Here is a 16,984-nt window from a genome sequence, read left to right as displayed (position 1 = left end):
AGCACCTTTTGGTGTGGTTTTTGACTTTGTATTTCTTCAGTGAATTGTCATTTTTAATCCATTGTGTATTTTTTCTACTAAGATATATCTCTTTCTTAATGACTTACAGTTCTTTACCTATTACACATATTAATTTGTTGTTACATATGTGGCAAATAGTTTCTCCTGCTTTATTTTTGTTGTTGTTTTTAACTTTGTTTTTTGTATCTTTCATCATGCAGGATTTTAAAATTCTTATGAGATCAAACTAAATATTTTTCATCTCGATGTCTATATTTTAGATATTGCTTTAAAAGACCTATCCCTACATCTAGACTTTGCCGTTTCAAAAGTTGTATAATTATGGAGCATTTCTCACTGACCCTTTGCCTATTTGTTCCGTAGGAAGAATGAATAAGGATTTTAGAAGACATTTAGCTAGTGATGAACATTCTTTATACATATAGGTGAAGGGAATGGGGCTGAATATTGATCCTTTAATAGCTAGTCAGAGATAAATCTTTAAATCTTTTTTTATTCCTGGTTTTTTGGGGCGTTTTGTTTGTTTGTTTGAGACAGGGTGTTGTTCTGTTGCCCAGGCTGGAGTGCAGTGGTGTGATCATGGCTCACTGCAGCCTTGACCTCTGGGGGTCATTCCTCCCACCGGAGCCTCCCAAGTAGCTGGGACCACAGGCATGGACTCGCCTGGCTTTTATATATATTTATATATATATATATATAAATATAAAATATATATAAATATATATATATATATATATATATATATATATTTTTTTTTTTTTTTTTTTTTGTAGAGATGGGGTCTCCCTGTGTTCCCAGGGCTGGTCACAAACCCCTGGGCTCAAGCAGTCTTCTCACCTCAGCCTCTCAAAGTGCTGGCGTTATAGGCGTGAGCCACCACACCAGGGCCTATTCCCAGTTTTTAAAAACTGGGCATCATTACGTATGCTTCGATTTTGTAGTACAAATTACTGGAATTTTTATTCTGTTTCCCAAGTTGGGCTAGATTTCTACTATCTCTTAAATTACTAATTTGATTAAAAATATCATTTTGCTTATACATAGGATTGAAGTTGTTTGCTGGCTTGACTGTCACTCAGAGATAAAGGTAGAACAAAGACTGGTTTTGAGAATGATGAAACATGAAAATTATATGCAAACCTAAAAATGTATATGCTTCATAGAAAATCTAAGAAGTATAATATCACAACCCAAGAACATTTGAAAAATCCTTCTTAGGTTAAACATGGTGCTATAGTTTTTAAATGTATGTATAAGAGAAAATTATAATTTGGACATAGAGATCAAAATTTTAAATCATAATACTTTTAAAACCAGTAGCAGCTTTTCAGTCCTCATTTTGTTTGATTAGGATTCTTGGTATTTGACGCTGTTGATCTCTCTCTCTCTCTCTTTTTTCTTTTTTTTTGAGACATGTTCTCACTCTGTTGCCCAGGCTGGAGTGCAGTAGCACTATCATGGCTCACTGCAGCCTCAACCTTCTGAGCTCAAGCAGTCCTCCTCTCTCAGCCTCCCGAGTAGCTGAGACTACAGGTGCATGCCACTATGCCCAGCTAATTTTTAAACATTTTTTGTGCAGATGGGATCTCCCTGCATTGCCCAGGCTGGTCTCAAACTCCTGGGCTTAAGCAGTCTTCCCACCTTGGCCTCCCAAAGTGCTAGGATTACAGACATGAGCTGTTGCGCCTGGCCTGAACATATTATCTTCTTTTGCTTTTCTTCTCTACTCTCCAACCCTCCCTCTGTCCTGTTGGGCTGGGAGGCAGGACATTGGTGGTTTAATCATGGACTCTGAAGAGTCACTGCTAGCTGAGTTTGAATCCCAGCACCCTAATTACATAGGTGCCCTTGGGCAAGATATTTTACTTCTCTGAGCTTCAGCTTTCTTACCTATAAAGTAGAAATAGTTCTCCTACCAAGAGTTGTCCTGAGAATGCAGTCAGATAATGGTGCACTGCCTGCCACAAGGCAATAACTCCGGGCAAATTGTTCCCTGTCAGTGAACGGTAGGAGGGTGGTTCACCCAGGTAATTTCACACCAAAACGTGAACACTCTTTGAATCTTCTTTTTTTTTTTTTTAATTATACTTTAAGTTCTAGGGTACATGTGCACAACGTGCAGGTTTGTTACATATGTATACATATGCCATGTTAGTGTGCTGCACCCATTAACTCGTCATTTACATTAGGTATATCTCCTAATGCTATCCCTCCCCTTTCCCCCTTCCCCATGACAGGCCCCAGTGTGTGATGTTCCCCGTCCTGTGTCCATGTGTTCTCATTGTTCAGTTCCCACCTATGAGTGAGAACATGGGGTGAACCTTCTTTTTTCCTTACCTCTCATAGTCACTCAGTCTTCAGGTCCTGTTAATGCTACTTCTAAAAGTATTTGGAATCTACCCACATCTTTCCCTCCCTACTCAGAGATACTGTCTTGGTCCCAGCACCATCTTCTGTTAATCCAGCTGTCTCCAGATTAACATCCCTGTCTCCATTCTTATCCATTCCTAATAGTCTCATGCTTCACAGCCCCCAGGGAGACCTTTCCAATAACTGCCCCCATTGCCTGCAGGATAAAAGACAAATCCCTTAATTTAGTCTGTAAGACCCTTCTTAACGTGGTCTTATTTTCATGCCTGTTTCATATCTCATCACTGAAGTAGTCACTGCCATAAGTATCTTGCAAAAACTTACTATAAAACAAATTCAAGTTTTTGATAAGAAATTTGAGAAATTAAAAAACAAAAAAGGAAATGCACCCATAATCTCACCATTATCATTTTGGTTTTGTTCTCTAATTTTTAATGCATATACTTACATATCTTCAATCAAATTGCATATGTAGCTTTCTTTGTCCCCACAAAAAAAAATTTTTATTTCGATTTTTAAATCGAAATAAATACAGGCTCATTATTTGAAAACATAGAAAATGGCAGATCCTATTTATGATTCATACATTTACCACTTCTCCCAAATTCCCTAATCTCATTTCCTTTTTGCCTGTGTTTATGAGTAGAAATTCATAGATATTTTCTTCCTTTTTTTTTTTTTTTTTTTTTTGAGATGGAGTCTCTCTGTCGCCCAGGCTGGAGTGCAGAGGCTTGATCTCGGCTCACTGCAACCTCTGCCTCCCGGGTTCAAGCAATTCTTCTGCCTCAGCCTCCCCAGTAGCTGGGATTACAGGCTTGCGCCACCACACCCAGCTAATTTTTTGTATTTTTAGTAGAGACGGGGTTTCACTATGTTGGCCAGGCTGGTCTCGAACTCCTGACCTCAAGTGATCTGACCTGCCTCGGCCTTCCAAAGTGCTGGGATTACAGGCGTGAGCCATCATGCCCGGCCTTATTCCATTTTTTAAATGACATATGAATTTTTATAACATTAATATTTTATAAATTTCAGTTAACATTGTTAAAGGTGATGGTAGTTGCTACCTTGTGTTGAGTAACTACTGTGTGCCTGACATGTAACTGCTCATCTTACACAGTAATTCCCATTTGACTAATGAGGGAACTGTATGGCTAATAAAGTGTCAGCTCTGCCTCTCCCGTGGATACCTCAACATGTGGGTATGTGACAACCATCAACCAGTCTTCCCCCATTGCTGGATGTTAATGGTTTCTTATTTTCTGCTATTACAAAAGATGTAGTCACTATTTTTGCATGTTAGTCTGTGTCTTCATTTCACATTGTTTCCCAATAAAAGTTACTAGAAGTGAATATTTTAAAAGTTTTGACACATATTGCCACTTGCCTTCCTGAAAGATTATGCCAGTTTACAGGGAGTGATTAATTCTAATGGGAGGGAAAGCAGAGAAAGGAGTGACATTTCATAGAGGAGGTGACATTTGAGCTGGATCCCACAGGATGAGTAGGGCTTTGCCAGAAGAGAGGCAGAGTGGACTGAACCTTCCAGACAGGAGGAGGAAGCAAGAGCAAAGGCTCCAGGTCTGGAGAGAGCCTTTGCCTCAGCAGAGGCTGTGTGTTCCCTATGCTTATTTGCAACCAGAAGTCCTCGTCATTTACTTATTTTATAATTGGCAGGGAAGATAGAATAAAGCCACAGAGAGAGTTAAAATTCTCATATGTGACTCTGCCCTTTCATGTATTTAGAAACCAACTCAAATGAGAACTTCTTTGAAGTTCTGAAACATTCATGGTAGTCTATTTCTTTTTTCCTTTTCCCAAAGGAGGGAAAAATACCCCGAGGATTCAGTATAATTGGGAAACTCATCAAACCTCCCTGGTTCCAGCTGCTTCCCTGAACGTTAAGGGACAATAGCAGCATATTTGACATTGGTCCTAATGTGGATAGGATTCATCACCTACCATCTTCTAGTTACATGCAAGGAGAAGGTCATTAACTTTTTGCATTTAGCAGGATTTATATCCATTTGCTTGATAAAATGGATGAAAGTAACTAAAATCTATTTTTAAGCTTGGGATAAGTGCCAGACACTAGGGAGTCAAGTTATACAGTAAGTAGAGCTGTAGCCGGATTTCGGCCTTTATCTAAGCACTGGTATGTCTGTAGTTCTCTCTTTCCGGGCTAGAGCAAGTGCTGAAAGCCAAGGTGATAAAGGTGACAGGGTAAGGGAGCAGGTCTGAGCTGGGGAGGCTTCCGTATGCCACTTCTTACTAATTCTATCATTGCAGCTTGAAATGCAATATGGCCAGTAAGCCATTTCCCATCATATTTTGAAGAAAGCAACTTATAAATTATGAATTAAGTTAATAAAATATTTCTAAAGCTGCCAAAGTACCTCAGGACAAATAGGATTTTTTTTGCATCTGATATATATACTGCTACTGGGAGGATTTGGTATATCTGGCATTCATGAAGCTTATAAAGTGTGAATGTATATTATGAACTTATATTTTCTTAAAAACCTAAAAACAGGCACTGTGCCACAGTAGCAGAATAACAGATCGTACCCAGAAGACACGGGTATATATCCCACAGTGCTATTTTGCCAGTCAAGGCCTTTCTTTCTGTAGTTTAACTTATTAAAAGGAGGAAGCCAGCTGGGCGCGGTGGCTCACGCCTGTAATCCCAACACTTTGGGAGCCTGAGGCCGGCAGATCACCTGAGGTTGGGAGTTCGAGACCAGCCTGGCCAACATGGCAAAACCCCATCTCCACTAAGAATACAAAAATTAGCTGGGCATGGTAGGGCGCGCCTGTAATCCCTGCAATTAGGGAGGCTGAGTGAGACAGGAGAATTGCTTGAACCCAGGGGGCGGAGATTGCAGTGAGCCAAGATCGTGTCACTGCACTCCAACCTGAGCGACAGAGCGAGACTCCGTCTCAAAAAAAAAAAAAAAAGTATGAATTTACCTTAAAACCTTACCATGAAATAAAAATTAGGGAATTAGGGAAACGTGAATTACAGGTTGTTTTAACATAAATTGTGTATTTTGGTTTTTTTTTTTTTTTTTTCGTTTAAGGAAATGTAATACAGGTTAAGTATCACTTATCCAAAATGCTTGAGACCAGGAGTATTTTGAATTTAGGGTTTTTCAGATTTTGGAATATTCGCATTACATTGGTTGAGCATTCCTAATCCAAAAATCCAAGATCTGAATTACTCCCTTGGAGCATTATGTTAGCATTCAAAAAGTTTCAGATTTTGAAGTATTTCAGATTTCAGATTTTCAGATAAGGGATACTTAGCCTGTAATAGGAATAGATGAAGTGATGAAATAATCTGTTGGACCAGATTTACTTGACAGCTAAGAAATATTTTTTTTGAGATGGAGTCTCACACTGTTGCCCGAGCTAGAGTGCAGTGGTGCCATTTCTGCTCACTGCAAGCTCCACCTCCTGGGTTCAAGCAAATCTCCTGCCTCAGCCTCCCAAGTAGCTGGGATTACAGGCACCCACCACCATGCCTGGCTAATTTTTTTGTATTTTTAGTAGAAATGGGGTTTCACTATGTTGGCCAGGCTGGTCTCGAACTCCTGACCTCATGATCCGCCCACCTTGACCTCCCAAAGTGCTGGGATTACAGGCATAAGCCACCGTGCCCGGCCAGCTAAGAAATCTTTATCATGCATTTAAATGGCTTTAGACACAGTCCAACAAAATTGCTGTGGCCACTCTCCCATCTGTCTCTTGTTCTGCAAATGTCTCCTCAGAAGGGAGCCAGCAAGTGGAAGTATTTACTCCTTATTACGTCCAGTGAAGCCTTAAAGGAATCAAGAGTACTTTCTTCTTAAGGTTCTTGCAATCTATTAATTAGATAATGTATGTAAAACTCCTAACATTATACTGACGCTTCTTAATGTTAGAAGTAGGAGGGAGAGGAGTTGTAATTTTTGCTTTATTATGATGACTGTGGTTGTTATTGTTGTGGCTATTATTTAGATTGTTTTACATTTCTGATGTTTATTTCCGCCTTTCTAGTCTTTTCTCCAATCCTGTCAAAGGAATATGTAATATTGGAGGGCTGTGTCCTAAATACCATTTACCTGTCTATGAAAGGGAGGCTAGAACTTGGTACATAGAAAATATGCAAATCTGCCCCTGGCCAGGCGTGCAGCTCTCCGCTGAGCATAAACTGCTGGTAGTTAGGGTGTCCTTCCTAAGTGACAAACTTCGTCTGAAAGGCAAGTTCATGCCCGTTCATGAAAACTTATTTCCTCAAAATTTCTTCATGAAGATAGTGAAAATGAGATCTTTACCAACAGCTCTTGGCAACTTAAAAGTTTCAAAATCAGATGTGAATGGAAGCCTAAGAGAAGGAAAGCCTTCAGTCTACAACCTAATGTTTTATTTCACCAACGCTGTGTCTGATTTCTTTAGATCATATTTTCCGACTAAAACAGAAAATCTCCCTGCTTAGATTAGGATTATTTGGCCCCTTCTTAGATCAATTTGTTTCCCATTCCTGGTTGTGCCCTTTCTCTAATAGCATGCGCTTTCTTACGTATTTGGATAGAAGGAATATTTTTTAAATAACACATTTAAAAGTGTAAAATTATTTTATCTGCTTAAAGTGCTTGCATAAGTTTTATAAGTCTTTTAAAATACTCCATGCAATTGGTTATAAGAATTTAGGGTTAGTGGCCGGGCGCAGTGGCTCACGCCTGTAATCCCAGCACTTTGGGAGGCCGAGGCGGGTGGATCACAAGGTCAGGAGATCGAGACCATCCCAGCTAACATGGTGAAACCCCATCTCTACTAAAAATACAAAAAATTAGCTGGGCGTGGTGGCGGGCGCCTGTAGTCCCAGCTACCCAGGAGGCTGAGGCGGGAGAATGGTGTGAACCTGGGAGGCGGAGCTTGCAGTGAGCCGACATCCCGCCACTGCATTCCAGCCTGGGTGACAGAGCCAGACTGCATCTCAAACAAAAAAGAATTTAGGGTTAGTTTGCATTACTACTGAGGCTGACATGGTAAATGCATTTTTATTTCTGTTAATGAAAGTGATACTATTCATTTTATATGGACTATAAAGTTTTGTCTTAGGAAAAAACTTACGTAATTTTGGATTATTTAATAAAAAAAACTCTCCTTACTGCCTAGATTCCCAATTCTTTTCATTTTTATTATGCTCCAAGCTTTTATCACTTAACTTTGTTTAACTAGTACCTATGCACCCTTTATCACTTAATCTTCCCCTTCAATTATTTCATAGGTTTCAGTCTTAACTTCCCAAATGTACTATAAGTTCCTTGATGACAGATACTGCCTTATAGCCGGGGTATATTCTACAAGAGCCTCAGTTGTGCTACACATAGTTGTTGATGAAGAAAGGTTATAGTCAGCATCAGTAAACTTCATCTGTTTGTATTACATTGAATGCCTTGATGCCACATCAAAATTAATATTAGAAATATGCATCTGCTTCTTCCCCAGGTTAACCAGCTTCGTGGCATCCTCAAGCTTCTGCAGCTCCTAAAAGTTCAGAATGAAGACGTTCAGCGAGCTGTGTGTGGGGCCTTGAGAAACTTAGTATTTGAAGACAATGACAACAAATTGGAGGTGGCTGAACTAAATGGGGTACCTCGGCTGCTCCAGGTGCTGAAGCAAACCAGAGACTTGGAGACTAAAAAACAAATAACAGGTAGTGCTTACTGAACATTGAAGAACCTAACACATTTGCACCCCAGCCAGATGCCTTACATCATCTCTTTTTCTTAAGTTTCCTGGAGCAAATGATTGATGGGCTCATTGTTATGCTAGAGAAGGCTTTAAAGGAACATTGTTACCTGCTGGCTTAGACTCCAGATTTGAGCCACATTCGAATTCCTTTTTTTTTTTTTTGAGACAGAATCTTGCTCTATCACCCAGGCTGAGGTGCAGTGACTCAATCTCAGCTCACTGCAACCTCCGCCTCCAGGGTTCAAGCAATTCTGCCTCAGCTTCCCTAGTAGCTGGGATTACAGGCATGTGCTACCACACCTGGCTAATTTTTGTATTTTTAGTAGAGACGATGTTTCTACTAAAGTTTAGTTTCACCATGTTGGCCAGGCTGGTCTCGAACTCCTGACCTTGTGATCCGCCCGCCTCGGCCTCCCAAAGTGCTGGGATTACAGGCATGAGCCATGAGCCACTGCGCCCAGCCTGAATTCCTTTTTTCTAAAGGGGAAAATGTTCTGCGGCTTTTGCTTAATATTCTTAATTAGAAACTCTATGCACCTTTGACTAAATGTCTTTAAAACAATTTGACAAGACTCACTGCAATGAAAATTCTGCTTAAATTCACTAACAGCCCACTTTGTAGTTTAAGAACGTGTAGGATTTCACTGTTATCCTAGGTGTCCCAAACTAAATTTTGGTTTCTTTCTTTCTAAAGAAAACTGACAAGAACCACACCCAGTTGTTTGTATTATTTACTCAACAACCAGCTTGCTGGATCTATAGAAAATGAAATGGAGTGTCACATAGTTTTCCAGTGTGGAGGATCAATGTAATCAAATATTAGAAACTGTTTTTTCCAATCTTTCCATTATCTGGACTCCTCTCAGTACCACCTCCTTAGCTCACTGAAACCTTAAAGAAGAAAAGAGTAACTGGATATGTTTGTTTTTTTAATTCTCTACTTCACATTTTTGTTCAAATACTGATTGGAGCAAATGTCTCCTTTTTATGCAATGAATTGGAGAGATGGACTAATCAGATAGAATTAAAACAGCAGTGTTAGTAATATGTCCTCTAAGCATGAAGAGAAGGGGCTACTTTCATTTAAATGAACAGTCGTATGATAAAAGAGAAGATGATTTGTTGATGTTCCAGAATAAGCACTCTCCCTGCCATCACCATCAGCTCTCCGCTTGTGTTCCCTGCACACAGTACAAAGAGTACAGGAGGGGCTGGGTGCAGTAGCTCATGCCTGTAATCCCAGCACTTTGGGAGGCCAAGGCAGGAGGATTGCTTGAGCCCAGGAGTTCGAGACCAGCCTGGCCAACATAGTGGGACCCTGTCTCTATGAAAAATAAAGAATTAGCCAGGTGTGTTAGTGGTGTGTGCCTGTAGTCTCAGCTATTCAGGAGGCTGAGGTGGGAGGATTGCTTGAGCCTAGGAGGCTGAGGCTGGTGCAGTGAGCCATGATTGCACCACTGTACTCCAGCCTGGGCAACAGAGTGAGACCTTATCTCAAAAAAATTAACAAAGATTGCAGGAGGCATAACTGAGTGCAATCATCAGTAAATTTTTGTTAAATATCTTCAATGTCTCAGCGATATACGTACATTTTCTAATTTAATTATCACAGAAACCTTGGGTTTCTAGGTATTATCAGGTGCTATATCTCAATTTTACAGATGAGGAAACCAATGCTCAAAGAATATACATCATAGAAGAGGTTTTTTTTTTTTTTTTTTTAACTGTGTAATAGTTGACAGTGTTCTGGTAAATACTTTTAACGGAAATACTCCACAAATATTGTTTTAAAGTAAATTGAATATATTTTGCTCTTCTACCTGCTTCATTTAGTTATATAATAGGTTTAATTTTTCTATAAAGATTTTGTCATTATGTTATCTCTACTCGCTTTATGTCTTAAAATATCACATTTTAAAAAATTCAACATTCATTTTAGATTTGGGGTTACGTGTTCAAGTGTGTCACATGGATATATTGTGTGATGCTGAGGTTTGGGATACGAATGGTCCTGTCACCCAGGTACTCAGCATAGTACCCAACAGATAGTTTTTCAACCCTTGCCCCCGTCCTTTCCTCCCTCTTTTATTCATCTTTAAGTCCATGTATACCCAATGTTTAGCTCCCATTTGTAAGTGAGAATATGTGGTATTTGATTTTTTGTTTTTGCATTAATTTGCTTAGGATAATGACCTCCAGCTGTATACATGTTGCTAAATATCACATTTTAAATTCTGATATATTTTAATGTTATAAAACTATGTGAGGTACCATGCTACTCTCTCTATTCTCTTTTTCTTTTTGAGACAGAGTCTTGCTCTGTTGCCCAGGCTGGAGTGCAGTGGCATGATCTCAGCTCACTGCAACGTCTGGTTCCAGGGTTCAAGCAATTCTCCCTGCCTCAGTCTCCCAAGTAGCTGGGATTACAGGTGCCCACCACCACGCCCAGCTAATTTTTTGTATTTTTAGTAGAGACGGGGTTTCGCCACGTTGATCAGGCTGGTCTTGAGCTCCTGACCTCAGGCGATCCGCCTGCCTCCGCGTCTCAAAGTGCTAGGATTACAAGCGTGAGCCACCGCGCCCTACCAGTACCATGCTACGCTCTTGCCAGCATTCTGTCAGGTCCCATGAGGGATTTCTTTTCATATCCATGATTTGTATTCAAATGCCTGTAGAAATTAAAAGTGATTCCATTCATTTAACCAACATTTACAGAGCAGCTTTCAGGGGTCAGGTACTGAGAATCACAGCCTAGGGACGGTGTGGATTTGGGGTTTTTTTGTTTTTGTTTTTTTTAAAGGATGGGGATCTCGCTGTGCTGCCTGGGCTGTTCTTCTGGGCTCATGAGATCCTCCTGCCTCAGCCTCCTCAGTAGCTGGGACTACAGGGACATGCCACTGCACCCGCGTTGGATTTTGTTTCTCCATCTACTAGTTTTATAGTCAGGAAATACTTCCTGAAGGGGTTATGTTTCATTGTGGACCTTAAAAAAGGAATAGGCTTTGGATTGGTGTTTTGAAAGAGGATGAAAGTTATTCCTGGCAAAGTGAGCATCACTAGCAAGGCAAAGAGGCAGAAAGAAACTAGCTGCCGGTCATTTAGAGGAGACATGGAAAATAGCGTGATTTGGAGTTAGGGTGCCTGGTAGTTAGAAAGCTTGGGAAGTGTGTGTGTGCTTGCGTGCGTGTGTGTGTGTGTGTCAAGGGAACAAGCCATTGAATCACGCTTCCTCTTCTCCTGCATAGGCAATAGGAGACTAACGTCAGAGAACATTCTGTGATGTTGATGCCATGTGAAACCATTCAGGCATCATTAGATCATCTATAGAGTTGATAAATGGAAGTTGATTGTGCAGCACCCAGGATTTCTAGTATAAGCCAAACATCCCTACTGGAGGGTGTTCATTACATGCTAATTGAACCAAACAGACATTTGAACATCTGATACAAATCCTTCTAAATTACTCCCTTTGGCTCTACTAATAGAAGAGCTAAATAAGGGCTTTCTGGGCCTCAGAAATAAATTGTTAACCTAATATAGACATGTTTATATCTTTGTTTAGAAACACAAAGAAAGTAAGTATATATGTGAATCTTACTGGTCTATTTCTTTGACCTTTTTTTTTTCTGAACCCCTATTATGTGTTGGTCACTAAGCTAAGGCTTTCTGTTTTTTTATCCCTATTTCTCCTGACAACTCCGTAAGAGGTGAAAGCATAATTGGTGACTTACATATGATCAGTGTGAGACTCAGAGGGGTTAAGTAAATTGCCCAAGGTTGCCTAAATGGTAAAGAACAAAGCCCAGGTTTGAACCTAGTTGTATCTGAGTGTTTTGCTGTCACCCCACCTACTTTTGAGGCACGTGATGACTCATTTGTATAGTCTTTGAGAAGGGGCTTGTCTTTGAGACTCCTCTGATCAGAGAGCTCTTCCTCACTCCTCTGACACCCTTCCTCTCTCTTCTTTTTTTTTTTTTTTTTTGAGAAGAAGTTTCATTCTTGTTACCCAGGCTGGAGTGCAATGGCGCAGTCTTGGCTCACTGCAACCTCTGCCTCCCAGATTCAAGCGATTCTCCTGCCTTAGCCTCCCAAGTAGCTGGGATTACAGGCATGCGCCACTATGCCTGGCTAATTTTGTATTTTTAGTAGAGATGGAGGTTTCTCCATGTTGGTCAGGCTGGTCTCGAACTCCCGACCTCAGGTGATCTGCCGGCCTCAGCCTCCCAAAGTATTGGGATTACAGGCGTGAGCCACTGTGCTGGCCCCTCTGTCTTCTTGTCTCTGCCTTGGTTCAAGCTGTCTTCATCTCTCGCTCTACTTCTGCAGTAGTAGCCTAGGATCTTCTCTTCTAATGAAAGAACTTCAGGATCAAAGACACCCCCACTCCCCCCACCCCGGTGAGATTGTTCTTTCTCCCTTACTAAGTGAGCGTGGTAGTGTTCCCGTAATTGAAATGAGAACGGCACATCTTAGTCTCAGAAGTTCATCTTCAAGGTCACTGAGTAGTGAGCATTGGCTGGAGTGAGCAGGGATATGCCTTGGATTAAAACGGACAAGTCATGATAAGAGTGCAGCAGGGGTTCTTATCCCTCTTTCATTACATATGAAAGAGTCAGGGTAATTGTCAGTGAAATGTGTTAAAACTGCATATTAATCCCTGCATATTTTATAGAAGTACTTAATTGGATTGCTGTATTTAATAAAATACTCAGAATGTTTTGCTATAAAATATTTATTATGCACTTTCTTTAAGTAATTGTATATTATTTTATTCCGCATTCGTAATGTGTAACAAGGTACCCTGGGTTTATATATAACTTGGAATACGTGGCCGTTTCAATAATCTGATATTCCAGTTAAGATTTGCAAAATTTAGGTGAAAGGAGGGGTATATCTATGCAAGGGAAATTGTAAATAAATAAAAAAAAATTCCTCCCACTCTTTGACCACTTTGAAAAACACGGTTAAAAAGAACCAGTTTTCTTTCTTGTCCTTGTCCGAGCGGTCATTGTCCTCATCTCTGCCTCCTCATTCTTTTTCACTGAAGATAGGGATTTATTTAATCATAAAACTTGTAAGTTTTGCTGCCTATGTGTTAAGGCAGATTTGTTAAATTACTATATTTTCTGTCCTAGAGGTCATTAATTTTTTTATTATTATTTTTATTTATTTTTTTGAGACGGAGTCTCGCTCTGTTGCCGAGGCTGGAGTACAGTGGCATGATCTCGGCTCACTGCAAGCTCCGCCTCCCGGGTTCACGCCATTCTCCTGCCTCAGCCTCCCAAGTAGATGGGACTACAGGCACCCGCCACCACGCCTGGCTAATTTTTTTTGTATTTTTAGTAGAGACGAGTTTTACCATGTTAGCCAGGATGGTCTCAATCTCCTGACCTCGTGATCCGCCCCCCTCGGCCTCCCAGAGTGCTGGGATTACAGGCATGAGCCACCGCGCCCAGCCGAGGTCATTATTATTTAACATGAGTTGTAATATCTAAGCTCCCTTTACTGGTTAGCTATTTTTTACAAACATCACGGTTGGCAGTAAATTTCTGGCTAATGGAGTTATTGTCTCTTATAATTGGTAATTATTCTAATTATATCCCTTAACAGAGTCCAGATCCCTTTCTTTTTGGCTAGAATGAGAGCCTCATGGTAGAAAATTACAGGCAGACAGACCATCTGCAACAAAGAGCTATACTAGTAGACATTAAGACACTATGAAAAAATTGATCAGAAGTTAAGGATGAGACACATGAAAACCCAAACCGTAAATATTATATTAGGTAATCCAGAATCTGATCATTGAAGGGACATCTATTCAGAATCATCTAGTCTATTGGTTTCCTCATGCCCAAACTGGAATCTTTTTTTAAAATATAAGTTCCTGAACTCCATCCTGAGACTCTGGCTCAGCAAATTTGGGGCATGGCCCAAGACTGTGAGTCTGTTTTGTCACTGGGCTCATTTGGAAACTGCTCATCTAGTCTAACACTTTAATTTCAGGGTAAAAGCCCTCATCTACTTTCTGATAAGAGATAAGCTAATTTTTATTCCCTCTAGTGATAGAGCTGGGTCTTACAAGTAGTTCTTTCTGTTTTCTTCAAAGCTCTCTTAGAAGTTTATACTTTCAGTGAGCCAAAATCTCCTTCTTTAGAATTTCCACTCATCGGTTCTGGTTTTGCCTCCTCTAGTCATGGAAAATGATATCTAGTTGTTTAAATTTGTATTTCTTTAGTTACTAGAGAACATGGATTCCTGTGTACATTAGCTCCTAATATCAGTTGGTTTTGTGTTATGTACCTTCCCAATTTTTCTACTGGTGTTTCGCTTTTTAGTGATTTATAAAAATTCTATATATTAAGAGTATTAAACTTTTATCTCATATTGTACATATTTTCCCAGTTTGTAGTTGGTTACTCACTGATTTTGTGTGAGGGTATGTGTGTATGAGCATATGTAATTCTGAATCTCTATTGAACATCTTAGTTCTTTCACAGCTTTCATGCCACCCAGAAATTTGACAGGCATGACATTTCTATGCAAAATCCTATATTAGAAATTCTAAAATTATGCTGAAACTTCCAAAATCATATACTTTTGTAGAAATAATGGAGCATGGCAAGCTCTAAAGGATATTGACTGTTGAAGGAAAATTCCACTCCCTTTGTTCCAATTAATCCTCTCTGGTTTTTATTGTAAGGTGTACTTTTTCTTTGAGTGTCCTGTGTGGTCCTTTTTAAAAGGAGGAAATGTCATTATGCTTCACATTCTTAAGCTTCTGGCAGGCAGAGACTATTAATTTGTTTGCTTATTTAGGACTAAAGAAGCTTTTGTTTTTTTTCTTCATTTCTCTCTTCTTTCTAACTTGCTTTTGTAGCTTAGTAACCAAAACTCAGCCTCAGACTTGTCTTTAAATTGTTTTCAACCACCTTCTGAGTTTTATCTGTCCCTCTTCCAGGGCCTCTTAAGGAGAAGCAGGAGGAATGAAGTCATTGTATTGCAAAACCTGTGGCTGAGGGACACTGCTCCTTAACCCCAAATGCTAGTTTGATCAGGAAAATACCTCCTCATAAGCCAGAAATCTAGTCCTCACAAGACACCAGACACAGTGTCACTGTATCTAATGGAAGCTCTGTGTAGGCTCCAGTGGAAATCTGGTTACAGTTTCAAAAAGTAGCTACCTGTGCACAGCAGAAGCAAACTGTTTAAGCCCAAAAGACTGCATGAAGCCTAATGTGTTCTAATTGGTTGGACCAAATATAAGTATGCTGAGTAATTACCAAGCTTTAACTATACAGGCTCTTATTTCAGGGGAGGTGATGTTTGCCACATAGTTCAGCCAAGTCTGCCACATTTGCTGTGTTCATAAAGGAGCCTGCCCTGAGTACCTATGCTTCCTCTTTCCTTTGTACAGACCATACAGTCAATTTAAGAAGTAGGAATGGCTGGCCGGGCGCGGTGGCTCACGCCTGTAATCCCAGCACTTTGGGAGGCCAAGGCGGGCGGATCACGAGGTCAGGAGTTCGAGACCAGCCTGACCAACATGGTGAGACCCCTGTCTCTACTCAAAATACAAAAAAATTAGCCGGGTGTCGTGGTCTGCGCCTGTAATCCCAGCTACTCAGGAGACTGAGGCAGGAGAATCACTTGAACCCGGGAGGCAGAAGTTGCAGTGAGCCAAGATTGTGCCACTACACTCCAGCCTAGGTTACCGAGTGAGACTCTGTCTCAAAAAAAAAAAAGTAGGAATTGCTGGGCCAGGCACAGTGGCTCACGCCTGTAATCTCAGCACTTTGGGAGGCCGAGGTGGGCGGATCACCAGGTCAAGGGTTCGAGACCAGCCTGGCCAACATGGTGAAACCCCGTCTCTACTGAGAATACAAAAATTAGCCAGGCATGGTGGTGTGTGCCTGTAATCCCAGCTACTCGGGAAGCTGAGGCAGGAGAATTGCTTGAACCTGGGAGGCAGAGGTTGCAGGTAGCCGAGATTGCGCCACCGCACTTCAGCCTTGGCAACAAAGCAGTACTCCATCTCGGGGGAGAAAAAAGAAGTAGGAATTGTTGCCTGGGCAGTGAGAAGGATAGGGTAGAAAGGGAAGAGTCATCCCTTCTCTTTCTGCCCCTCTTCTCCTTTTCCTGGGCATTAGTGAGTTAGTGTAACCCATTACGGTATGAAAGATAATGAGGCGGGCCAGGCAATGGCTCATGCCTGTAATCCCAGCACTTTGGGAGATCGAGGCAGCAGATCATTTGAGGTCAGGAGTTTGAGACCAGCCTGGCCAACATGGTGAAACCCGTCTCTACCGAAAATACAAAAATTAGTCAGGCATGGTGGCGGGCGCCTGTAATTCCAGCTACTTGGGAGGCTGAGGCAGGAGCATTGCTTGAACCTGGGAGGTGGAGATTGCAATGAACCGAGATCAAGCCACCACTGCACTCCAGCATGGGCAATAGAGTGAGACGCAGTCTCAAAAAAAAAGAAAGAAAGATGACGAGGCAACTTTACACCTGCTGGGAGTCCCTGGAATAGCAAGCAATCAGTGTACAGTCTTCCTTCCACTGAATCAGAAGGATTCGAGCTCCAAATTTCAAAAACAAAAAAAATCCTAAACGTATATGCCACTTTCTATTTTCTCTCAGTACTCAGCCTCAGTCTGTATGTCACAGTATATACCTTATAAAGTACAACATGCTATTATCTCAGTTTCTTCTGGATTGGCCTATATGGTCTTTCTCTTTAATATGGGGGATTCAAGAGGAAAGAGAAAATTTAATGAGTAAATAGGGTACTAATCTTTGAGCAGTACTTAGGCCATGCAAGTTGGCCAATAGGGAAGATGCTGTTGTCTCTCCTTCA

General features: G+C 40.8%; 1 protein-coding gene across 10 annotated transcripts in view; it reads left to right on the top strand.

Moving 5' to 3' along the window:
* Nucleotides 1–16,984, top strand: part of PKP2 (plakophilin 2) — a 106,023-nt gene that overhangs the window by 37,923 nt on the left and 51,116 nt on the right. For 8 of the 10 annotated variants that reach the window (NM_001407156.1, NM_001407155.1, NM_001005242.3 and 5 more), the window contains one exon: nucleotides 7,882–8,089. In NM_001407156.1, coding sequence (NP_001394085.1) covers nucleotides 7,882–8,089 — 208 coding nt within the window. Of the gene's footprint in view, nucleotides 1–7,881; nucleotides 8,090–15,541; nucleotides 15,674–16,984 lie in introns of all 10 variants that reach the window. The other 2 variants (NM_004572.4, NM_001407157.1) reach the window with 1 other exon arrangement.

The sequence above is a fragment of the Homo sapiens genome, chromosome 12 (genome assembly GCF_000001405.40).
Source record: "Homo sapiens chromosome 12, GRCh38.p14 Primary Assembly".
Lineage (NCBI taxonomy): Eukaryota > Metazoa > Chordata > Mammalia > Primates > Hominidae > Homo > Homo sapiens.
This window is presented reverse-complemented; position numbering and strand designations above follow the sequence as displayed.